The 27,171-nt window shown below is 39.6% G+C and overlaps 1 protein-coding gene across 13 annotated transcripts in view, besides 1 other annotated feature; it reads right to left on the bottom strand.

Moving 5' to 3' along the window:
* Positions 1-27,171, bottom strand: part of CREB5 (cAMP responsive element binding protein 5) — a 526,574-nt gene that overhangs the window by 52,369 nt on the left and 447,034 nt on the right. The gene's annotated exons all lie outside the window — the stretch shown is intronic.
* Positions 4,280-4,871: an enhancer, noted in NCBI's record as "NANOG hESC enhancer chr7:28808272-28808863 (GRCh37/hg19 assembly coordinates)". NCBI's record gives its function as "activates a minimal SCP1, AML or CMV promoter by ChIP-STARR-seq in naive and primed H9 embryonic stem cells {active_cell/tissue: H9 hESC(naive and primed)}" and the evidence as "EXISTENCE:reporter gene assay evidence [ECO:0000049][PMID:30033119]".

Raw genomic sequence — 27,171 nt, 5'->3', positions numbered from 1 at the left:
TCACAAAGCCTAAAATATTGATTATATGGTCCTTTTCAGAAAACGTTTGCCCACTTCTGCTGTAATATACTATTTATCTGGAATAGCTTCAGTTATTAAAAGCTTTAATTAATAATTTATAAGAATAGCTCTAAAACTGGAAACCAACTTTAGGTAATTATGCTTAAGCTTTAGACCTGAAAACTACTTCCTTGAGTTCTTCATGGTTATTTTACTTTCCTAATTAAGGGTAAATATATGTTATATATTTGGTCCTAGCTTTGAAAAAATTTTGCTCTGCACAAAAGATCCTGGCAATAGAGGTAGGTAGAGTTCCACATAGTCAAACAAACAGTCTTAAAGTGATTTTTTTTTTGTTTGTTTTTGGAAACCAAGCTATTTAAGAAAGTATTAATTTTAAAAAACAGATATTAAAAAGGAAATGCTGAATGGGCGCTTAAAGGAGGAATTTACATGTTGAAAATAAGACTAACAATGTCTAAAGCTCTCGAAAACCCTGCCTTGTAGTCACATATTTAATCCTTACAATAACCCATACATTAGATACAATGCAGCCCATTTTAGAGCAATGAACCTGAGATCTAGGAGGTTACGAGAGCTGCCTATGACCACCAAGTAGCAAAGTGGTAGGCCAGAGCTGGTGCACAAGTGTCACTTAAATCCAAGTATTTTCCTTACTCTGCCCGCCCCAAAATGCAGTAGATGAGAGAAGGAGGACTTGCTCAGGAAAGGTGAGCTTCTGCATCCTAAACCTGAGTGAGCCTGGACAAGTCTTTTAGTCTCTCCAGATAGCAGTTAGTTTATCAAAAAATGAGTGCTAGTGTTCTATAAAGGCTTTACTGCTTTGCTCTATGAAACTTATAATTGAGGATTTTACTACATTTAGCTTGAAAATGTCTCTCAAAGAGAATTTAAAACCTTCCTGTGTTTCCTTTGTTACAACAGTTTTTGCTTGTTTCTTTTCAAGTCTTTGGTGGAATGAACGGGCAATTTCATGCCTGCACTACCCAGTTATTCAGTGCTGGGCGCGCCTTCTCCCACCGCTCTTCCATTTCTGCTTCACCTAAAACAAACAGTGGCGAGGCTCGAGCGGCGCCTGGGCTCCCAGCCTTTGGTAGTGAGTTGGGCTCCCCGTTCCACCTGGCTTCCTGAGCACCCTGCTCTCCATTCCCAGTGTTGCCTCAAGCAGTCACCCCTTGGGCTGCCCAGGTCACCCTGCAGCCCTCATTGCTCTTTTGCCCCAACTTCCAGCGGTTTTCGGCTACTAACCTGAACATTTTTTAAACCTGAGCCAACAGGTCCCAAGTGTCTAGCCGTCTGAAGCAGAGTCTCTCTAAAGAGAGATTCTGCCAAATTCAGGAAACTCCACCAGTATCTGCTCTCTCTGAGGAAGTGGATTTTATAAGTGAAACTATCCCATGTCCCTTAACGTCTGGGCTGGGCAGCCAAGGTAGGTGGTGGCCCGAGAAAGTGGGAGTGTTTTAGAGAATGACAACTGCCCTTTGCTGTCCAGTTTTTACCAGGCCAGGAAGAAAAAGGTGACTTTCCTCCTCATGGGAAATTTATTGCCAAGGGAAAATAGAGACTCAACACATCAGCCACACAGAGGAAGGCTGGGATGCTCCCTGAGTTTATGGAGCACACTTACTAAACCTTTTTTAAATGACCAAAGAAAAAAGTTACAAACAAGAAAAATGTCTTCTCCTGAGAGATTGGCCCCACCCTCCCACCCACCCACGGGGAACTATAAATTAGATATTACAGGCACAGCAAATTGGCAGCTGATGCTTTAAACATTATGAAGTGCCAGGTCTGGACCTCAATACAGATACTTTTTTGTTTTAGGTACTTGCCATTTAAAAATACACTTAGAAGTTTCTGGAAGGGGTAGCGCTGTAAATGAAATGCCCCACACAGAGAGATCATGACATGAGAAGGGTTGCCCTGCTCCTCACACGTACCGGGAGCCTGATAAGAACCATCTCATGTGTTCATGCAACGACTCCCTGAGGAAGGCATCGTTGTCTTTCTTTTAAAGAGGATGAGGGGCCCTAATGGAGGAAGGACGCCCCCAGACTTCTCGTGAATCCCGTGTCCACATCAGGCAGCATCCAGAGGACAACCAGAAAACACATTGGATAAAATCCCCCTATTCTAAGGTGGCTCCCTTGATGAGGGAACGTAAACTGACTCTGAATTTTTTTCATTGAAAAGTCTTGAAAATGTGACCCTGGAATTTCAAGCCCTGTATCTCTCCCCTAAAGATGGAGCCATTTTTTTCTCTCTGCTTACAGAACCACTGGGGTGTCAGAGATCAGTTCATCCAAACACCCTTACAGAACAAAGCAAGAAATTAAAGCATTGAGATGTAGGGTGATTTATTCAAAGAAAGAAACTAATTAGTGGCAAAACTCTTATTTTTGGCTCTACCACTATTTCATACTTAAAAAAATTACAGCTTTACTGAGGTATAATTGACAAAATTTTGTGATTTTCAGGTGCACCACAGGACGATTTGCTATCATATATATTTTGTGACATGATTACCACAATCAACTTAATTAACACCTCACCTAGTTACCCCTTTTTGTTTTGTTTTATGATGAGAACACTTAAGCACATTTCAAGTATACCTTGAGTACTGTTAACTGTAGTCACCATGCTGCATATGGGATCTGAATTTATTCATTCTATAACTGAAAGTTTGTACCCTTTGACCATCTTCTCTATTCTCCCATCCCCCTGCCCCTGGTAACCACCACATATATATTTTTTAAACATAAGAGTGAACACTCCAGTTTGTGAGAGAAAAGATGTACTGCTAATGTCGCAACTAAAAATTTAAGGACCACCCACTTCAAAAACCATCATTAGATGATCAATTCATAGCATGATCATTGATGTAACTGTCTTTACCACAATTGGGTTTTCTCCCCTTTTCTTTAGTTATTTTTCTGGTCATGAAAACCAAAACATTAAGTGGACTAACAGATAAAAAATGGATCATGATGAAAGGTACAAATGTACCCACTCATATAAAAAAAAGTTCCATTCTTTCTCTTTCTCATACTTTACTAAGGAGGGTTGGCCAACAAAGATGTTCCTTGGTAGAATTATAAGAGAATGTGGAAATGCTCTGGGTTTTGTTGTTTCTCTTTCCCTACCCAACTCTAGTGGTGAGATTAAGCTTACTAGTAGCTAGAAGCTCCAGTATTACAGGCTTTCATAGATGCCCAAGAAAGACTGCAATGAGCTTGTTCCTCCAAGTGGCCACAGATCTGCTCTGGATGGCAAAACAGACCAAGTTGAAGCTGAAGCCCTGTCATATTAACTCCACTCTTCTCTCCCCTTTCTCCACCGGCTCCCCTTCCTCATGGCTCACTTTTTCATAACTCTCACCTTCTATACTAAATTTTCCATTAGAGACAGGAATGCGGCTGTTGGAAGAAGTTGTTGTAGGGGCCTGCTCCACTCTGAGCTCAGGCTCCCTGTCTGTCGCGGGCCAGCAGTGGCTCACTCTGGACACAGTTGTACAGAACTATGGAGCCTATTGCCAAGAACCATCCCAGTTTCACCATTGGCAAGAAATGTCTCTTTTGTGGTCATGGAAAGGTCTGATTCTAAGGCTGGAAGAATGCTCTAGTGATCCTACTTGTCTTTTAAATCTGATCTCAATTTCCAGCTTCCTGGATTGTCCTATTGGAATTGTCTGTCTTTTAAATCTGATCTCGATTTCCAGCTTCCTGGATTGTCCTATTGAAATAAAAAATGGCTGTCTTCATTTTAGCCATGGTCATACTCTAACTGCCCTATAAGGACAAAAAATTACATTTCAGTCAGGTACCCAAGGAGACTTCCCTGATGATTCTCTTTAATAAGGAGTTAACTCCAAGCCTTATTCTATCCACCGGAAGGTACAGTTAACTCAACTATTTCAAAGCATCAACAAGACATACACCTTGGGGCCCTACGACATATTCTGTTTTTTAAAAAATTATTCTTCATTAAATTAATTTATATTTACTAATTTTATTTTATTAGTATTTATTTGGTACATAATTATACGTATTTATGGGTATATGTAACATGTCAATATATGTATACAATGTGTAATGATCAAATCAGGATAATTAGCATATCTCTCATCTATCAAACATTCATTTCTTTGTGTTAACATTCAAAATCTGCTGCTGTACCTATTTGAAAATCTGCAATAAATTGTTGTTTATTATAGTCACCTTGTAGTGCCACAGAACACTAGTCTAGGACACGTTTTTTACAAGCACTAGAGGTTCATAAGCAAACAAGATATCCACTGAATGAGCTATAGTTTCAGGCCTGGTCAAAGCATAGCTAATTTATCCAGTTGAGTTTTAATAAAAGAAAAAGAAAAAATGTTGTTCTTTTACTATCTTCCCAACTCTTTGCCTGTTAATGCTTTATCATTCAGACCCCAAATAAATGTGTTTCCTTTAGTGTACCAGAGGAATGAGTTTACACTCAAGGACTCACAGCTAGTGGTCAATGCTCACTCATTTATATAACAGAGTTTTCTGAATGGTCTGGAAGAATGAGAAAGGTCTTGCTTTGCCCGAGGGGCTGCCTGAGGAGAGGCTGAGGCTGAAGGAAAGCTATCCTAAATGCAAGCAGCTCAACTCAGATCTAATCAACTAGATGAAACTACCTCCTTCTGGGAAGATGGCCAACACTGTTAACTCATTTGAGTGGGAGGAATTTCTCAAGTGGCATCATCAATGGTGGGACTAGATTGGACTCATGACCAAATTTCAGTGTTTGTAAGACCTTCTTGACACTTGTCAGGAAGTGAGTGCTTAAAACCTCATCCACAGAAGCAGAACTGGAAGAGAACCTATGCAAGAATTCTTCTTCCCTCAAACACACACACACAGTACCTTCAAAAGGTTGCCATTTTATCCTCTAATTCAGACAGGAAAAGTTCCCTGACTATAAAGCAACTTCTTCCACCTCAAGGTAAGATCTGTTTTCCTGAAACTCTAACTCCCTTCTCACACTGCAGATTTTCAAATATATGAGGATAATTATTTCATCTCAGATTAGATATTGGGGTTCCATCATCCTTTTTTTTGTGACATGGTTTTCAGATTCTTTACCCATTTGAGAAAGAAAACTATTCCCCCAAGAACTTCATCTCACTTCCACATTCATGAGCAGATGAAAGCATTGGGTGTAAGTGCCTCCAATTGCCACTGTCCCCTCCTTAAATGGTATCCATCTGCAAACCCTCTTACTTTCCACAAGAGTCTTTTTCTTCACTAGCCTGTCTTCTTTCCCTTCTGAGGAAACAGAAGAAGGTCCCTTCCCTGCACATTCACCCCCTACTCTGGAACATGCCCCTCAGACTCTGCCTCCCCACCCCAACTCCTGTCTACAAGGCACATCCAACTCAGACTTAATTCTGCATTTTTAGCCAAATAGGGCTAAAATATGCAAAATCCTTAGATTTTATAAATGATAGAATTAGTTCCTATCCTTATGGGGATCTTAGACCAATTTTCAAATACTTTAAAGACTGTTCTTTCTTTAAATTTTATCTTTGTCTTTTCATAATGGAAATTAAACTTTATCATATTTGTAAGAACTGAATGGATGCAAAAATCCCTTGTGCAGAGATTAAATTCTAGATGGATCATGGGAAGGACCGATGTTTAGAAACTACTTTTAGGTTGAAGAGGCATTAGGCAAAATGAGCTGCTTTTGTTCCCCAGTTGGGAGCTTGGAAGCTTGGGCTGGATGGATACAGATGCGATGCAACTTAGTAATTGTGAAAATGACTTTCTTTTATGTGGAAAAAGCCACAGAAATAAAATTGAGGATGGTAGAAAGGGTGTGTGCCGATTTGCAGTGTGTCGCTTCTCTCCCCATTCCCACTCCATGTTAAAGGTTAAAAATGCTCCTCAGTGTATGCCAATATCTGCCCTGATTCATCTTGGAAACTCTGAGTCTTTAGGGCCATGTTGGGCTGAATGGTTATTTTGCAACATCTCTAATCAGAACCACTGCCAAGTTCAAAATAAACTCAGGTTTGTTAAGTTATTTTCTAATAGGAAGATTCCTGAAAAGATAGTGCAAAGCTCAAAGAAAATAATGTCATGAATATATCAACTCAAGAGAGGCTGGCTAACCCATCTTAGAATTTCCATTCTCTTTCTCTCTATGTTCGATATGCTTTCCAATTTGTCAGTGTCACACTGCCTGTAGCCCAGTCTGGTACACATAATTACAATGAAAATAAAAAACAAAAATAAATGCATACATGGAACAGGGCAGCAAGAATTTTAAAATGGGCTAAGTTACTTGGGTACATAAATTGTGAATGAAGTCATTTTGATTTTGTAAAAATTAAGTCATGACATGAAGACAAAACACAAGATCTTGGGCAATTCTCCTTCTAGGATTTTTCCCCTAGTATGCAGTTTAAAACCAAGTGTGTATTACTCTTTGTTAAAACAAAGACTCAAACAAAAGAAGCAGAACTTGACATCAGTATAGAAATAATGTTTAGCGTCCAATTCTGTGTTTGAACTGGAGTGCAGATGACCTGTCCTTACTCCATACTTCAGAGAGGTTTGAAGTGTGATATCACCCTGTCCCCAAGAGTTATCTTGTACATAGAACCTCTCTTTGATGAAGACACACGATCATCCCTGCCTTTTCCCGTGGATACTAGTGGGTGATGGGATCAGAAAGTCAGGAAAGTTTACCAATGTGGCTGAGCTGGACACCTGAGGGAGTCTTCCTCCTCACTATTTAGGGCTTAGTTACCCACAAGGGCCATTCTGGTTTCCATTTCAACAACCAAGCAGCCACAGCCTGAAGGGCAGTCTTCAATCTGGGTCGACATTCCAGCCCGTGGGTGCTCCAATGTTTGCCATGCACTGACACATTCAACTTTTCCTGCACATTCCAGGGTAAGCTGGACAACAATTACAAGGCATTTGAGAGATCTGTTTAAATCCCTTGCTGAGAACCAGTTGAGAAATTTAACTAAAATTCTGGGAAACGAAGCATAACCTTGTCATCTTTTCAACAGACTTTGCATGTTAATGCTTTATCATTCAGACCTCAAATAAATGTGTTTTCTTTAGTGTGACAGAGGACTGAGTTTACACCCAAGGGCTCACGGCTAGTGGAGTTGGGGCGGGGAGGCAGAGTTTGAGGGAGCTTGTTCCAGAGTAGGGGGTGCTTGTGCAGGGAAGGGACCTTCTTCCCTTTCTTCAGAAGGGAAAGATGACAGACTGTTTTTTATTTCTCATTTATCTTTAAAGTAACTTTAAAGAGATGGTGCATAACAAAGAAAATAAGCATAGTGGCTAAACTAATGAATTATATGTAATGAGTTCTCATTATGCCCTAGGGATGTGCTAAGGAACATACAAATATTATCTCATTTTTTTTTTAGTTGATGTGTATTAGGACTTCTGTTTTACACTCTGAAAAAATGTAGCTCCAAGAGATCTAAGTAACTTGCCTAAGGTATTAAACACACTAGTCTGATTTCAAAGCCCTTGCTTTTCCCTGCCGCACCACCCAAAGAAAATGTCTGAGATTAGAGTCAGTGACAACTTGATATTAATTCTCGAACTGTCCTGCACACGGGCAATAGCTGCAGTTCTCTGCCACCAATGGGTAGAGAGCAGGCTCGAGGCATGGTGGGGGCCCATATTTGGAAACATACTTTATCTGTTATCATTTTCTGTCTAAGGGCACATTACAGTGTGCCCACCGTAAATACTGCTGGTCTTGAGATCTGGTGTAACATCTGAGAAACCTCTGCTGTGAATACCAACAGGCAAAGAAGAGATTTCTTCTCTGCAGCCATTCGTATCTCTACCAAATATTTTCGTCTTTTTTTATTGCTGGTGCTAGCCCTCTCCTTCAGTTTTTTTCCCCCTTTCTCCCTTCCTGTCTACCTATATCATGGCTCCATGGGAGACAGAAAACATACATGTACACACAAAGCTACGAATAAGGCAAATGTGGTTTTGTGGCATTTGCTCCACTTGAGAGAGGAATACCAAACGAAGAAAGAACAACAACTAAATATTTCACTACACACCTAATACACATTCATGTTTGTTGGAATGGAATGTTGATAAATAATATTGAATAAATATTTTCACATTTTAAAGTGCTGGATTTGTACAAGGGTAAAACACTTAGGAAGTACAGACTCTTATGTTTCTGACCTTGCACCAAGGTCTAGATTGTGTTCAAGAAAATCATACCACACCAGACTGTGAGCCATGTGAATATATCCACCATCACCTCAAATCCATACATAGTTTCTATCATGACACGTATGATCACAATAGATGAAAGGTAAACACACATTTATAAGAAAAGTCTGCTTTGGGACCCTTTTAGATATTTTGTAATTCAAAAGAATAAAAATGTCAGTAACATAAATACAGTGAGATAATCAGCTCATCTTTGTCATCATTTTGGTGATCCATATTCTAGATGTTTCATGGCTGCATAAGCAGAGAATTGGAGTATGAATTTCGGAGTTTGAGGCTGCATACCTACATCTATGAGAGACTATGAAAGGCGGCAAAACTGTGGTCACCTAAGACACTGAAGTTACTAAAGATAATTTATGAGACGGTAACAAAGTGAAAGTGACCCTTCTAAATCTCATTATTCTCAGAAATAAATTCTTTAAACCATGTAAACAGGAATTGTCATCGACATTTATATGTAGACTCTAGTGAAAAGAATTAAATCCTCAATTACCTATGAAAACATATAAAACTGACCCAAGTTTTAAAAAATCTGATAGTCAATCCATGGAGAGGAGCATTTATTTCTCATAGGGAGATAGTAGCTTTACAAATCAATATTTGCAAAGAGTTTTGAAAAGTGGGAAAGCCTAATATGAAAATAGAACCCAAATTATAGCTCAGACTTTCTTTCAACCCACCGAAATCAAATAGTCTAAGACCATCCAACACGAATATTTGCACCAAGCAAATATTTGTGCAAATAAACTCTCCGGTTTTAGTTTTGATCCTTCTCTTAAACATTATGAATTTTATAGCTTGGCAAAGTGTTGTGTTTGCCATCCAAAACCCAAATGGCTAATGGTAAATTAAAAGTGTAAACTTTTGGGTCAGTTTTTTTTTTTACAGGAGAATTAGGGCCTTTCCTGCATTTCAGCTCTGGCTTATGTGTAAAACTGTATAACTTGTTATAATGTTAATGTTATATCATTTATATTTTGCTTGAAATTTAAAAAAAATAATAAGAGAACATTAAAGAACCTAGGGGTGTATTCAGGTCAGTAAAAAATAATTTTTGTATCTACTGAGTAGTCCTTGAAGAAAACTTCTTCCAGCACCATGAATGTAATTTCTATACTACTGACAATATATAATATCCTTAGGCCAGGCATGGTGGCTCACACCTGTAATCCTGGTGCTTTAGGAGACCAAAACATGAGGATTGCTTGAGGCCAGGAGTTTGAGACTAGCCTGGGCAACATAGTGAGACCCTCTCTCTACAAAAAATACAAAAATAATTAGCTGGGCATGGTGGTGCACACCTGTAGTCCTAGCTACTTGAGAGGCTGAGGTGGGAGAATCATTCAAGTCCAGGGTTTTGAGGCTGCAGTGAGTATGATCATGCCATGTACTCCAGCCTTGGTGACAGAGCAAGACCCTGTCTCAAAAAAAAATAATAATAATAATAATATCCCCACAGCGATTACATCATGCTTTCAAATCTCATGAATAAGAACAAAAAGTAAGGAAACTTTGCTAATGGAAAAATATCTGTTATAAATCACCAAAACCTCAGAATAAGGGCAGGATAATTTACAGGAGTACTGAGAACCCACTGAAAATATATTCAAGGGCCCTTCTTATGTTCAGGTCTGTGCTATAAAGTGGCAAGGCACAGAGGAAACGTTATATGTTGTAGCAAGACTCGCTTTTAAAGGCTAAAGTGTGGTAGGATAATTAATTGAAGGTTTAGGGTAAAGTATTTAACTGCATGGGGACCTTCACAAGTTGCTTGACAGTATTAAAGCAACAAGCCCAAGGCTTTTATATTCCTAAAGACTCAAATTTTCTCCCCAAGCTCCTAAGAAATAGTGGACTGTCTTTAAAAGCAACTTACAGAAAGAAAGGAGGACTCTCTTTGAAATAGAAGGTATGGCAGTCCTAAAAAGAAACAGGCACTTGTGTATAATGTATATACACGTCACAATTTGAATACCTATTAGTAGCTACTAAGGATGCAGAGGCACATCTAAGTGCTTTTCTTATTTGAGATGATTTTCTTCTTTGCATGTTTTTATATTAAAGAAAGAGTGGAATAGAAAATCAGGAGAAACTCACAGGAAAGACAAGGGAAATTCTGATCTGATCACCCTCAAGATGCCCTGGAACCAACAAGATGCACAAGTTATACTTTAAGCAAGGTTAGGCCTCTTTCTGTTACAATTCCCAATTTTTTGGTAAAGCTCCTGAAAATCTGTGTCTTGTCTGGGTAAATGCTGTGGAGGTAAGAAACAAGGCCCACATCTTAAGTGGAATACTTTTATAAATAAGATCTTTTGGGACACTGTATTTATTCTGAACAATGATTAGAGCCAAGAGTCTTTAATGGATTTGTTATGTGTTTCAGCTATTAAACAAAATGGAGCATTGAAGATGTGTGAAGAAATAAATGAATGAAAAGAAATGCACTTTCTCTCAGTTTCATATTGTATCGAGGTCATCTGACAGCCTCAAAAAAAAGAAAAAGAAAAAAAAAAAACCATAGCCAAGAGTTTAAGTTTAGGACAGATGACTATTTTGCTTAGGGAAAGATCAATCCACTTAGGTTTATTGGATTTTTGTTTTGTTTTCTTTTGTGTTGGGTAGAAGGGAAGGTTTAAAGCACAGAAGGTTCTCATGCATGGTGATAGAGAAATACAAACAATTATCAAATGGTCACTCAAATTTTATCACAGCATTATTTTGCTCTAAATTTCATAGAATTAGTTGTGTTGTAGCAGGATATTTGCATCTAATGCTGCACGTACAATTTTAAGTCCTTGTCAACATTAGCAGCAGCAAATAATAAAGTTACAAAATAAAGGGTTGCTGGAAAATCCAAACCACCAAGCACAATATATTGAAAATTCCTTTAAAAGTAATGTAACCTGAAAATGTGAGCACATCATTCTGACATCTAAATATTTAAAATTCTAACCATACAAAATTTCTTTCTGTAAAATGTTTATTTTATCTTCAGATTTACTTTGAAATGTGGGGTTTGAAGTTCATCGACCCAAATTGACAACCAAAATAATAGTTTATGCCAGATGTGGTAACCTTAAGTTTAAAAAACAAATACACAAATATGGGTTGTGCCATTGTAACGCTGCATGAATATCTGGGAAAATATATAAAGCTTTCATTTAAATGACTTAGCTGGTAAGTTTGCCTTTCTCCTCATTACAAACTTTCTTCTGCTGGAAGTTTCAGAATGAGATCAGTTTTATCCCCAACCAGTTATTTACATTGAGATTCACATGTTTCACACTACTTTATCTTTATGTTGCGAACTCATTTCTAAAAATTATTCTGCTTCCCAAAGCAAGCAGGATCACACTAGTTTTAAAAATGATTTAAATATTTAAGGAATCACTGAAATCTTCTCAAGTCTTGGCATATATAATTGGCTTATTTTCCTGAATTATCACCTTTGACCCCTCCACACACAAATATTTCCATAAAACAAATGATACACACACACACACACACACACACACATCCCTCACATCATTTAAAGTGATTACACATAGGAAAGAATTTGGACTCTCTCCCAGTCACAAAATGTTAGCTATATGACTTGCTCCAGCCAAAAAAGCCCCATACAGTATTTGCATTTCTGATATTGGTACGATGCCGTGAAAGAGAAATCTTTAATTGAGGCTTGAGTTTAAATCTAATTGGATAAATGTACTGGTTGGGGATTTATGCCATGTTCCTGCTCTGTAGCTAAAAAGTTGCCCCCTCAGAAAACATTCCCCTGAGACCCATCTCAGGAATGAAGCCTTGTCTATTGACTTGCCATTTGCCCTGAGCAGAAACCTGTGAATTTCAGAACAAGAAGGATCTTGAGACCTTCACTCCGACACCCGCAATTTACAGTTGAGGAAAGTGAAGTCCAGAGCAGTTAATATCTTACCCAAGGGTCCATCGCTGGTGAGCAGCAGCTGTGGAACCCCATCTAGGGTCAACTACATACAAAAATATATTTCTTTCCACCTTGACTCTCCCCTTAAACTTGGGATCATTGGGCATATGCTCATTTATTTACAATTTCTGGATATTTGAATTCCTTTTCTTTGTCTCACTTTCTAACCCTGTCAATCATATACTGTTGTGTGCTTTGTCAGTTCTCTACCTGACGATATTCATTTTGGTTTAAATGTGTGGATAGCCGGAGGAAGCGCATGTAGGCAAAGTCTCTAAGGGTTTTCCTGTAACATGAGCCTCCTATATGTGCTACGCTTTGTGCAAGTAGAAGAATATATGCTCCTACTACTTGGAAATATTATGGAAGATTAATTAGTTAGCATTTTCAAAGTGCTTTGAAAATGAAAAGCACTATTATTACACCTAATGAAATTTCTCTCTTAGATTCCGCAACAATTTCATTTGTATTTGCTGCTGTGCCAAGAAAATAACTGTAGGCTCACAGAGACATTACTGTGAAAGCCAGTCATAGGTAGGCTTTACTACTTTCTTTTTCTTCTTCTTTTTTATTCAATGCTTTTATTACTCCTTCTTGTCTCTAAACACAGACCTGCCCTGAGTGGGCACATATTCATAAGAGAATGCTATATTTTGGAGGGAAATATTTCTTCATAAATAGGTTTTTGTGTGTGGCAAAACAGTCTACTAACAAGGTAAATGCTGATTCAGAAAGAGACAGCCACAAATGATAATATATGCCCTACATGAGTTATGGTAAGACTGCCCATCAGATGAACACAAACATGCGGAGGCAGCATCGGTTGAAGAAAAAACTTTGGCAGGTCTGAATCATTCTCTGGGATCTTCAAGGTGGTATAATCAGTGGGCCCTTGTAAACATCTTTCCCCACTGGCTAGGCTACTGTCTTAACCTGCCATGATGCATCAGAACTGTAGAATAATTTGGTTGGTCTGGTTTTGCTGCCACATGTAGATACCCAATTGAGTCTCCTGGGAGAGGAAAGAGGTGTGTGGGGAAACTCAATCTGATTTAGAAATCAACTCTCCTGTAGGTAATGTTGTGTTCTAATAAAGACCTGGAAATACAGACTCAGAGGGTATAATTAGCAGAGTTGGGAAATCAACAAGCCAGAAAACTGTTGATAGAGAAGTATTTCTATTGTTCAAAACATGTTTTGTGCATTAGGAAAACAAAACCAAATTCTTTCTCTTGGCGTCTACCTTTAAAAGCACATCAGCTAATGAAGGGGGCATCAGAACTGACATCATGGCATTAACCAGCAGCCTGAGACCTATTTGTATGTGGTTAGAAGCTAAATTCTAATTTACTGCCCATGTCATTAGTCAAACTCACATTAGTGATGTGAATTGGCAAGCTTTCCATTTCTTCCACATAATAAACAACCACGGCATACCACAGACAAACATAAACCTGAGCATGTCACACATTCTGAAAAGTTGCGTGGTATGTAAATTCCAAATGGTTCCCACTGCCCAGAGCTGCGGCAGCAGAGAAAAGCTGGAGTGATGACACGAGACCTTCCTGTTTTGCATTCTCTATACAAAGGCAAGTGACCCTCCATCCTCGCCTGAGCACAAATGAATGGGAATGGTTTTGCAGCAAACTTACTTAGCTAGAAATGCTGGCAACCAATGCTCCACTTGGTAAACTCAGCAGGAAATAAAGAAAACTAAGCCCTCATTTAAGGAACATAGTTTGATCTGCATGAATGTGTACATTGTAAAAATCTAATTGTGCATCTATAATTTCTGGTAGACTGCACATATCTACTGTAAAACCCACAAAGAACACTGCACATCTGCTCTGGCTATTGAAATTCTGAGACAGCGTTCTTCAAATACATTTTTCTAAGAAGCCCCATGTAAGTATAAATAACCAAACTCAGAGTTCACATAGCTGGCAGAAGTAAACATCAAAATTGGGTAAATTTATATTTTATTGCTTGTTCTCTTTGTTTTGGAGCTATTTCCTTTTTACTTGACATGATCTAACATATCTTAGCTCAAACTCAGCTGAGTTTCCAGTACAATCTCTGTGGCATATATGTTATCAGAAGTACACCAGGTAGGTATTCCAAAAGCTCAATTAATCTTTATTTACTTGTTTTTTGAACAAAAAATATGTGTCTGCGTGCCTGTACCTGTATACACACACAAACACATGTATCCATTGCCTGAATAATCTCCAGGGGTTTCTACCAAAGTGTTTCCTAACAAGAGAAGCAGTTGAGTTAATCACCCCCATACAAATTAGGGGTGCTCAGGACTGAACCATTTGCTCTTCCATTGGCCTCCTGACTGTGTGTTTTTCATTAATGCTATTCCCTCAGTGGAATTACTGACGTCTCACTTTAAATACACTTTTCTGTAAGTCAACTAACAAAACTAATTAGGAACTGTGAAAGGCCATATTGATAGAGTACAAATATATAAACCAGCTCTGACAATTTCTCCTAGAGGACTCCATACATCATGGGACTTTGTGCTCGACTTTGGGTTCTTTTTGGCTAGCATATAAATAAACTAAAGTAAAATCTCTCATGTTAAAGTGACTTTAAAGAACCACACGTTTCCTGAAAGAACCATTTTCAAATTGCATATAAACATGTTTAATCAATCTTTACTGCTCTAAGTGGCTGGGGGATTTCACAGGGGCAGGACTCAGTGACCTACTGACTGGTAGTGCAAACCCTGGTGGTGTCTACATGGGGCTATGGTTTGATCTGTCTCACTGAATTGACAAGCTAGTTCAGTCACAACTAATTTGACTGACTTTCCCCACCGGACCTCCCTCTATTCACATACCAGCCCTCACACTTCCAACAAATCGGTGGCTTGAACATGACATAGACTCAGCCAAGGATAACAACAACAACAGTGACAACAAACCTTTCAAGTGCCACAGTGTATGGTAGCATTGCCAAACCACGGCCAAGCCGCTGAGCAGGAATTTCTGCAGGCTACAGAACAGCCATTTTCTTCTTATGTGAACATCCTGAGAGGCAGGAAAGGACTCAGATACCTGTGAGCACAAATCCTGTCCTGCCATTGACTCGTTAGTAGGTCTACCTGAGCCTCGATATCTTCATGTCTGAAAGGAGAGTACAACAACCAGGCCAACAGAGACAATGATGGCTGCTTCTACTGCTGTACCATGACAATATGACTACAATACTACCACCACTCTTACTGTGTTCTGCACTGCTGCTGCTGCTGCGCCCACACTACTGCTACAAAACGACTACTGTTACAATAGCACTACCATTGCTGTAATACTACTGCTACTGGGACTACAGATTGAACACCCCTAATCCAAAAATCCAAAATCCAAAATGGCCCAACATCTGAAACATTTTGAGCATCACCGCGATGCTCAAAGGAGATGCTCACTGGAGGATTTCAGATTTTGACTTTTCAGATTAGGGATGCTCAACCGGTGTAATGTAAATATTCCAAAATCTGAAAAAAATCTGAAATCTGAAACACTTCTGGTCCCCAGCATTTAGGATAAGGGATACTCCACCTGTACCATCACCACCACTACTACCACAATTCATACTATTACTTCTTTTTTTTTTTTTTTGAGACGGAGTCTTGCTCTGTCACCCAGGCTCAGTGCAGTGGCGTGATCTCGGCTCACTGCAAGCTCTGGCTCCTGGGTTCACGCCATTCTCCTGCCTCAGCCTCCCGAGTAGCTGGGACTACAGGCGCCCGCCACCACGCCTGGCTAATTTTTTTGTATTTTTAGTAGAGACGGGGTTTCACCGCGTTAGCCAGGATGGTCTCGATCTCCTGACCTCGTGATCTGCCCGCCTCAGCCTCCCAAAGTGCTGGGATTACAGGCATGAGCCACCGTGCCCAGCCCATACTATTACTTCTATATAGGTTTCTTTCCTCATGTTGCTGCCCATTGTTACAGTGGCATAGTAGTTAAAGGCATGAACTCTAGGAGTGTGGCTGCTCGGTTTAAATGTCAGCTCTGCTACTTACTAACTGTGTGACTTTGGGTAAACCATTTACTCTTTCTGTGCTTCAGTTTCCTCCTCTGTAAAATAAGAATGGTATTAGCAGATGTCTCATATACGACGGTTGCGAGAATTTACTGTGTTACTATTTACAAAGCATTTAGAACAGTGCTTGGCTCAGGGGAAATACTATGTAACAGTACGCTAAAAAAATTAGGGTGAGTAACTGAAAACTGGCAATAATGCAACATGATGGGCAGTAACTGTGTTTAACTTGGTACCTATAAACAATATGTTGCAGATTCTCAAAATTTACTTATTAACAGTTGACTATACAATCTTTGAAATGTGAGCGCCTGAACCAATCAATCATCCAACAAATTGTAACCAGCAATTTAAACACCCTGCAAAAATAGCCAGTTGATCTCTCTCTGCCTCTCTCTCTCTCTCAAAACCTGCTGTTGTCAATTTCCAATAAGTGTCTCTGAACATTAGTTAAAGCATGTGCCCAGTTCAGAGTACACCATTGTGGCTGACACTAATAACCAATATGGTGCTTGAGGAGAGGGCCGCTTTGGAGAGCACCAGTGGTAGTCATGGTGGTTAGGGATATTTTGAGTCCTCAATGAACACTTCACACTTCTGGAAGATTTCTAAGTGAAAAATAAACTGGACTCCATCCTGCTGAAATGCAAGGGCTACTTAGACTCAATGTGCTGTTTTTTTTTTTTTGGAGATGGAATTCCCCTCTTGTTGCCCAGGCTAGAGTGCAGTGGTGTGATCTCAGCTCACTGCAACCTCCGCCTCCCAGGTTCAAGCGATTCTCCTGCCTCAGCCTCCCTAGTAGCTGGGATTACAGGCATGTGCCACCATGCCTGGCTAATTTTGTATTTTTTTAAAGTAGAGACGGGGTTTCTCCATGGTGCTCAGGCTGGTCTCGAACTCCCAACCTCAGGTGATCTGCCCGCCTCGGCCTCCCAAAGTGCTGGGATTACAGGTGTGAGCCACCGTGCCCAGCCACTCAATGTACTTTTGCTGAGTGAAAAAGGGAGATGGCAAGCCCTTCATTTGGCTGCGACTTGCCTTCCTCGACACTTCCACTTCTCTCTTATAGGCCACAGCATCACTGAACCTCAGCCAGGCCTGTGAATGAGTTCCAGCAGGTAGGTAAATCCCCCGAGGTAGGAGGGTTTGCATACAATAGTGCTATATATGCTGTAAATTCTGGGCTTCTGAACCTTCCTATGTTCTGTATTTTTAAAAATCTATAGCAAATATAAATTTCTTGAGAAGATAGAATACATTGTATTGTTCTTTATGCCCGCCCCACCCTACCCCGGGACTATCATGGAACCCAGCACATAGTAGGTTTGATCTAAATGAATGAATGAATGCACTTGAAGATCTCTGAAACACTTCAGAAACACTCTTTGGCCACTAACACTTACAGATTTTAGGGCCTACCTGAATAATAATTGGGTCCTTGGTTCACAGCATTCATTTCATTCTTTTCATGGCGAGCAGCTCTCAGGATCAATGTTCAGCAGCCATCAGCAGAAATGAACAGGGTTCATCGTTTAATCATTGTTTAACACTGCCTAGAGTGGAACTGTAATATTCCTAGCTTAGTAAGTTTTTTTCTTATTACTATTAGTTGATATGTGCTTCTTGTGCATCACTGCCAGATTTATCTTCCAAAAAAACTGATTTCATCGTGTCCCTCCCTACTCCTAATCCTCCAGTGACTCACTATTGCCTAAAAGATAATGACCATTTCCTTAGGCTGGCATTCCTGAGCCTCTATGGTCTGGCTGGGACCCAAAGTATCTTGCCAACTGGACCTCCCTTCTCTCATAGGAATTGACTTCTCAACTCAACAGGTCTACTGATGATCCCTGAACAGGGAGAGGTGGTCATCTGTCAGTCGACTGAGCTAGTCCAGAGTTTGTATCTTCAGCAGCTGTTATAAATACGGCACCAATACCCTTCTCTTTACACTATTGTTCTCAACTGGAGATGCCCAAGCCTGTTCCTCCTTCAGTGACCTCTCATCTTCTGCTTCCTTTACAAAGTATTTTCTCCAAGTCTTCCAGATCCAGTAGCAGGTCCTTCCCTGAACTTCTAAAGCACTTTCTCTTGGCTATAAACTTACAGAGGGACCATGTAACCCCCATAATGCCTATCCTAACCAATCTTATGCTCTCATTTATCCCCAGTACTGATACCCAAGATGAACTCTATAGGATTTGGTTAATTTAAAGAGTCAATCTTACCCATTCTTGAAGTTTTGGTTCAGAGAGTGCTATCTTTTTACTTAATGCGAGTTTATATGCTCAGGCCTCAGGTGTGAAAGTTTTCCAGGAAAGATTTTAAAAGCTGTTGTTATTCCTGGTATCATGGCACCTTCCAAGGCAGATACAAGCAAAGGCGTAGTACCCATATCTTGGAAATATCTTATTATTTAAATTGGATGCTGCTTGATGCTGACTGGAGAATAAAGGATCCCTCTCTATTGTAAAGCAGGAGGTAAAACGTTTGGAGAGCTTATTGGGGGAAAAAAAAGAGTGAAGTTTTTTCATGTTCTCACAGCTCTAATGAGGATCGTGTTGGCTGGGAGCTACGTGCCAGCATGCTCTTGGCAACCAACTTATTCCTCTAAGTTAGTAGGAAATGTAGGTAAAATATGAACTGACATGCATCTTTAACCAATATTCTGGTGACTTAGCCTGCCACTGCTTGGGAGGGAAGCACACCACAGTGGGGTCCCCATAACTACAGCAGCGATCCCTCATGGATCTTGTGGCAGGGCAGTAGGAAACGGAAGGTACCATCTTTTCCTTTGAGAACAGGTGGCCAACGTAGATGTTTAAAGAAGCAGAAATTATACACTGCTGAGGTTCTGGCCACATGCTACTCCTTGCAGTTCTGGCTCTCCTTTGGAACACTTGAATTATTCATGACACACAGTGCCATCACTACACACAGGCAAGTGGGGCTGCAGCCCGGCACAAACAAACCGAGGGCCTTTGGTGTGAGAATGGCAGTTCTGTGGCTTTAAGAAAGAGCTGGTGCACCACACTGCAGAAAGCCTGTAGATTCAGCTGTGTTCTTACCTCACTCTCCCTTCTGCAGTGACCTCACCCGGCCACAATGCTACTATTCATGCAGATGGAGTGGAACACTGCATACAAAAGTTTCATTTAGGCACATAAACATGAATATTTAGGCCTGCTTGATTAAAAATGAAAGCTAGATATTTGGCTTTCTGTAATTTGATGAGGTTGAGGGAGGTTTTTTTTTTTTTAATGAGTTTAATTTTAAAGACTAACCTTGAAAAGAATAATATAAAAAAGATCGTCTTCTTTTTTTCTGAAAAACTGTATCCCTGGTAGGGTTAACCTTCTCTCATTCTTTCTTGCATCATAGTCCTTACATCCTATGTATTTTCTAATTAGATTTAGAAAGCCAACCATGGAAAAGCTAGATATTGAATTTTTTTCTCCAAATGCACATCATCTAATTTTAAAAATTTTAATCATTTCACTTCATCATGCAGTTCATTCTGGCTCTATAAATATGTGTGTGAATGCATATACACATAAATATTTGGAATAAATTCAACAAGTGCATGCCATTTAGTTTCTTTCAAAGCTGTAATCTACACAGGGTTGAAAAAGAGGAAATGTAAAGGTATTTCAATGAATCTATCTCCCCAAAGGGTACCTATGGAATTACTGCTAATTTTCTCAGAAATATCTTCCTGTTGTTAATATAAGAAGATTATAGCACAAGAATTGGAAAACTAAAAAGCATAAGGAAAATAAATATCAGTCATGATTCTAATACCTACAGATAACTCTCTCATCAGTATTTCTACCAATTGTGAGTGTGTGAGTGTGTGTGTGTGTGTATGCATGCACGAGAGAGAGATTAGGGACATTCTGTATAGACAATATTACTTCTATTTTTTCTACATAGTATGGTATTGTGATCACTTGAACATGTTTTTGGGGCATTTGTTTTTGAAAACATGAATTGTTGGACAAAATCCCACCATTTCCTATTTATTGGGCATTTAGATTATTGCCAATTTCCCAAATCATTTCCTTAATACTTTATAATAGCACTGCAGTAAATATCTTTGAACATAAATCTCTGCTTGGGTCTGTGATTATTTTCTTAGGACAGATTCTTTGAGGTGGAACTCAAGGCTTGGTACATTTTGCCAAACTGTTTTCCAGTAAGTGGAATCATGTGTATGGCATATAATTGATATCCTCTTAGCCCATCTACTTTGGTATTATGTTATAGAATATTATCTCTGAGAATTTATTTCCACAAAACATGTGTATTTTCCTGACCTTCCCACTAATTCTGGCAGTAAAAAAAAAAAAAAATCCCTTTAGAAAAGAATAAAGAGTAGAAGATTTAAGCTCTATTTCTTCTTTCAGTGACCTACCAGGTAAGAGAAATTCTGCTGTTTTTTTCTCATTATATAAGGGGATAAGAAGATATTTATGGATTATTTGCGAAGACAAACATTGTCCTAAAAGAGGCCATTGTAGTAAACATTGTCTCAAAAAGTTAACTGTTAACATTTATTAGACAGGCCCTATGTTAAATGTACTAGAACTGAGATTGCTATTTAAAATTGAATCCTGGGGTGAATCCTTTGGAAAAGTGAAGAATTCCTTTGTTAATGCAAGAAAATACATCAGTACTTATTTCATAAGTTCAGGTTTCCATGCGAAGATTTTCCTTAAAGTAGGGTGTTCGCTTGTCTCAAAATATTCTTCTGAGATACATATTAATTACAAAGAGAAGGCTGAGCACGATGGCTCATGCCTGTAATCCCAGCAATATGGGAGGCTGAGGCAGGTGGGCCACTTGAGGTCAGGAGTTTGAGAACAGCCTGGCCAACATGGTGAAACCCCATCTCTACTAAAACTATAAAAATTAGCTAGGTGTGGTAGCGGACACCTGTAATCCTGGCTACTTGGGAGGTTGAGGCAGGAGAATCACTTGAACCCGAGAGGCAGAGGTTGCAGTGAGCTGAGGTCTTGCCACTGCTCTCCAGCCTGGGCAACAAGAGTGAAACTCCGTTCCAAAAAAAGAAAAAATTACAAAGAGAAAGATAGGAACTTGAGAGGGGAGAACACTGGAACATCCCACCTTAAACAGGTGATCAGGGTTAATATCACCAGGGATAAGATTTATCATCATATACCCTTTGACATGACAGACCAAAAAGGGTACAACATCACCTCTGAAGTATTCCAAAATATGCATAACTTCAATTTAATCATGAGAAAACATCACCCAAACACAAACTGGGGGATATTCCACAAAAGAACTGACCGGTACTCGTAAGAAATATCAAGATCATAAAAGACAAAGGAAGACTGAGAAATCGTCATGGATTGGAAGTCTAAGGAGACATAAAAACAAATGCAATGTGGCACTGGGTGCTGGAACAGAAAAAAAGACATTGGTGAAAAAAATAGGGAAATATGAATAAAGTCTGAAGTTTAGTTAATAACATTGCACCAATGTTAATTTCCTGGTTTTGGTAATTGTATTATGATTGTATAAGATGTTAACATTAGAGGAAGCTTGGTGTGTATCGGAACTCTGTACCATTTTTGCGACTTTTCCATTAGTTTAAAATTGTTTCAAGATAAAAAATAAAACAATGACAACATTAGTAAGTAAAAGAAAAAACAACATGTGTCTATTCCACATAACTAGGGAGGCAAGCCCTCTCTGGAAGGCACTGGATCCTCGTAGATATTTGCAAACCACAAGCAACTCAACGACTGAGTGGAAAACCACTAGGGTCTGAAATGGCGAATTTAACCTGTCTTTGCTGAAATCTGAGAACACATTATAGACAAAATCCACTGGATCTTCACATGGCCAACATGCCAATTCCAAATGTGTCAGTTTCTCTTTTCTGACAAAGTGATAACAGTGGCAATCCCTTCCAGCAGAGCTGTGGCCTTCTTTGAATGCTGGGGATGGCATCTGAGTTAATAAAGATGTGTAGAGAAGAAGGAATGCCTTTCCTCTCCACAGTGTCCCCCCACCCCCCACCCCTGGCTCACGCGCAGTCATCTTTTGCTTCCTGACGCTTCCCAGGCTTGTGAGCAACCAAGTGGCTTCGTTTGTTGGTTAATGGGGAAAGGGAAAAACTGCCTTGATATTTGTTTGGAAGAAGCCTAGAGAATCTAAACGGAAACCTTTCACCCAGCGATATGGCATTTAATTCTTGATGAGATTATCAAACATTTCATTTCTAACCTTAAAATTTTTCAGAATCTGTGCTCAACCAGACAGACAATTGAAAGGTTCCATAGGGGTAATTAGGCCTATGTTTAGTACAGTTCTGAAGGCTGATGGCAACCTGAAATTACATTACCTGATAAATTCATTCCAAAAATATTAGATTTCATGTCATGACACTTCAATTACACATTTAAAATGAGTATTTAATATATATTTAATTTGACAATTATTACATGCTAATTAGGTGTAATAGTTTCATAGAAAATATATCTTCTCTGGGTTTAATTACCACATTGCAGAAACATCAAAATGAGGCTTAATTCATATGTTTTAATCATCTTTTACCAATTAAAATACAATAAGTATGGAAACAGCAAGCATCTCTGACTCTAATAAAAAAAGTGATATATTTCGTATTAAGCTTCTACATGTATTTCTTACATTTCTTGTGTATCACATATCTATAGTAGAGGTTAAAAATGATTTGTATATGGGGCCATTCTCTTCCTTAAAATGAGATCCACAAATTTTCTTGTCAGAAATTTATAATGTTAAGTGAAAAAGCAAGCCCAGACAACTCCATTCTATATGCCATTTCATATAAAGCTCAAAAACAAGCAAGATTAACCAGTTTATTGTTAAGATATGCATACATTTGTGATAAAACTCCTTTTAAATGCCAAAGGATGATGAGCCCCAACTTCAGGACAGTGACGACCCCAAGGGCGAGGCAGGATGGAACGTGGAAGGAACACACTGACAGTTAGAAATGACTGGTGATGCTCTGGTTCTGGGGCTGGGGGCTGGGGGCTGGGCTCATAGGTATTTGTTGTATCACTGAGCTCTACAACATAAAGATATGCCACATATATTCTCATTTCAAAAATACTAAAGGAAAAAAGAAAAAATGCATATTTCCATTTGAAATGTTGTCTATTGCTGTGACCAACAGTTAGGAAACATACTTTATCATTTACATATATTGATTTATTGTTAAAAGTTATATTTGCAGTCTAATATTATATCTAGAAAAGATATAGTGAGCTTTTTATATAATGCACGTTAAAAAAAAAAACTATCAGTTGCCAAGAATGATGTCAAATTTCAGCTCTTGGCCAACTTCTTGGCCAATTGGATTCTACTTCTGAGACATGTAAAACTATTTATCTTGCATAAAAATCTGGCAACTGCATTAAACACTTCTTCTATTCGTACTGATGTATTAGGTACCCCTAGCAACCTAATAAACACAAAATAACCTTAAAGATTGTCTTGAAAAAAATCAGCTGACTCCATCATTATGGACATTGTTGTAATGAGACCTATAAAATGCAGATGACTGATTTAAAACCAGCATCTATAGCCTTTTGTTTTAATAAATGCAACAGACAATGAACATATGGAAACTGATCCTATTTGGCCAATATACAACTGCTTCACAATTTGAAGTATCCAGTGATTTCTTGTTCAATAATAATTTCATCCACGTTATTTGTATTCAACCCACTCTCTTCTTTTAACTGTCACTTTAAGCAAGTAGACGCTCCAACCGCTGGGTGCCACTCAATGGGTTTGCAGCAGAGGAAGTAAGAGTGACTCAGATCAGAGGACTGCCTTGTAAATCAGCCACATGCAGCACTGAGACATCCATCAGGGCGGTGTGCCCTTTCCCCACTGCTGCAGTCATGAAGTCATGGGCCTGCCAAGGGGCTAAGATATTATTAAAATAAATCACTGGCCTGGAGACTTGTATTTAAATACTAATTAACTCATAAGTAAATGGGAAGGAGCTGACTTGTCTCGCCCAGAATGTTGTTTGGAAAAGTTGCTGAAATTACCACTCTGGGTTGAGGCCTCTGCTTTCACAGATGCTGAAACACTCAGAGAATAAGGGGTTGGAGCATACACCTTAGGAGGTCAGGCTTGGATTCTGCTTACAAATCCAAGTTGCAGTTGGCTCAAGGCAGTTTTAGTAGGAGCCTGAACTTTCAAGAATATTAAAGCCTCATTGATTGTTAAGTGAGACAATCAAATACATAAATCCCAGCCACCCACTCTTTGGTTGCTTTCTTTGTCCCTGTCCCTGCACAAAAGCAGCTACGACACTGGGAGAGCCCTCCAGAATAAAAACTTCATTCAGATTTTCCTCCCCTCTTGCATTTATTCCTTTCCAGGCAGAATCTCACAGAGGCTTGCAAACTCACTGTCTGGAGGGCCAAGACCTACAAACCATCTTAAAATCCTCATTGCACGCTGGGGCCTGTGCAGGCTGCTTTTCCTCACTGGCATGCCGTGGTAACTCAAATCTATCTGAGTAGAGGCTTCTTTGCTCAGCACTATGCTCCGATGCCAAGTTCTAGCTTCACTTGTTCCACAGATACTGAAGTCTCTCTTCTCAAGGATGAAGGTACCTCCACAAAGCCTGCCCTGGGTATTTAAAGAATTTTCTCCAGAACTCTGAGATTCTTCTTTTTTCATACCACTGAGCTCTAGTAATTCGTCGTCCTTGGCTTGGACACATTCTCTCTAGTTTTAGCAGGATCACACTTAGAATGCTGTCTCTGTCCTCAAGATTGCTGGCTCTGGCTTTGAGCAAAGAGCTTTTCCTTGCCCACACATTGTTCTTCCTCATAGTGACAGCTAGAGTGATAACTGGGATTTCAAAGAAGTCCTACACATATATGTGCTTGTCTCATTCATAAAATCCTGACATACCCACAGATCACAGAATTTACCACAAAATTTGGCTTGTAGAGATTTAGATTTGCATACAGTACCCATGAAGACAACTCATTTTGCTTGTCAAGAAAACAAAGCAAAACACTACACATGAGCTCTATGCTGTCCCTGTTCCCAGTGACCTGCAGACATGTTATTAAAACTCATGGTCTATTAAGTCATTATTTTTTATCCTGCTTATCCAAAGCCATCAGGTAACAAAGCAAAATCTGCAGCCAGCCACATGGCCACAGGCCCAGCTGGAATACGTTCATTGACCCTGGCCTGTGGTTCTGGCTTTCCTCCTATGGGAATGGAGACACCACCGTGAGCAGTGATTCTAGAAGGGCCTGTTAAGGACATCTTCCACAATTCTGTTCCCTCTCCTGCATCCAGCTGAGAAAGTGTGTTTCTTCAGGGGAGGGGCGCCCTTAACAAGTTAAAGGGCAAGACTGGTAAACAAAGGCTGTTTTTCAGCATCCATTACATGCTGGGAGGCTTTGATCTTCGTGTTAGGTAAAGTAGGGTCAGGATACGCTTTGCCATCACTTACAGGACAGGCACTGTGTCAGGCTGGCCAACCCAGCCTGGTGTCTGAAGCTTTCTCAGAGGGAGAGACTGGAAAAAAAACACGCTGGGACTGGTCTTCTTTGCCTGCTGTCTGGCTTCAAATTAGGGCTCAAGAATGAGTGTGTCTACTCTCTGCTCAGCTTCGGAGCAGAAAGGTGAGTCCCTTCACCACTGCAGGTTCCAGACAGCTGCCAGCAAACCCCTGTGACACAGCTTCCTTCCTCACTTAAAGGGAATTTGCTGTAACTCCCTTTGGATCGAATTCTGCTGTGCTACAGATAACTGTCTTGTTGCTCAGCCACTTTGCTATTCTAAATGCTTCTTTCTCATTATGGGACTCATTTTGGCTTCACCCTTAATGAGGAGGGATTGACACATTTATCAACTATTACAGAAGTGATGATGCTGAGAAGATTTAAATACAGACTTACAAAGAACATTGAGGCACCAAGCAGGTGCTGTGTGTGTATTTGCACACAAGTGTGTGTGCACACATTTCTGTCTCCCTGTATCTTTTCCTCTCCATCTGTCTTTCTTGTTTGTATAACATCATACACACTGGCAACCCTCATATTATTTATTTACTGCAGAGGAAAGGAATTCCACAACAGCCTCAGGAAAAAAAAAAAAAGTCTTGTTTCTAGTTTTTCTAAATGATTGAGAAGATAAGGATTTAGAAAATAAGGTATGAAAAGCCATATTTGAAATATTTCTTGAGGGGGAAGAAAAGAATCTGCCTTGTTTTGAACTGAAAACTGTTTTCTACTCTAGAGCCTCATGTTTCCACCTTCATCAGCCTTCCTGCCCTAGGAGCCTAAGAAACGTCTGGGAACCAATAACGTTTTCTCAGGGGATTTCATTACTGAAAGGGCTCATTAGGAAAGACATTAAAATACGAATTACCTCATAAACTATTTAGTTGTGTACCCAGTGGGAGTGTGCTTATTAGGGCCTGAGCTTTTCACAAATAGAGCTAATCAATTAAGCTTCATTACAAACTGAAGGGGTCTCAAACAGAATGGATAAGAGAGGGACCATCTGCAAAAGGACTTGATAGGAAGAAACCATCGCCTCTAACAACTGCTAAAGTTAATTATCAGCTTCTGGGTAGAGAAGATAATTCAAATCTTCCTGTCTTTGGACAGAATCTCTTAAGGTTCATTAGTTCCTAAAACAGTGCTTCTCACAGCTTAATGTGCTTGCGAGCTACCTGAGAATCTTATTAAAAAGCAGGTCTGAGGTGGGGCCAGGGATTCTGCATTCCTAAAGGGCTCCCCGGTGGTGCTGTGGGTCAAGGGACCCCACTTTGAGCAGCAAGGCCTTAGATTATTAAAATTTAGCTGGAAGTAGCCTTTGTGGTAT

The sequence above is a fragment of the Homo sapiens genome, chromosome 7 (assembly GCF_000001405.40).
Source record: "Homo sapiens chromosome 7, GRCh38.p14 Primary Assembly".
Classification (NCBI taxonomy): Eukaryota; Metazoa; Chordata; class Mammalia; order Primates; family Hominidae; genus Homo; species Homo sapiens.
The sequence above is the reverse complement of the archived record's forward strand: the minus strand, read 5'-3'. Positions and strand labels throughout refer to the sequence as shown.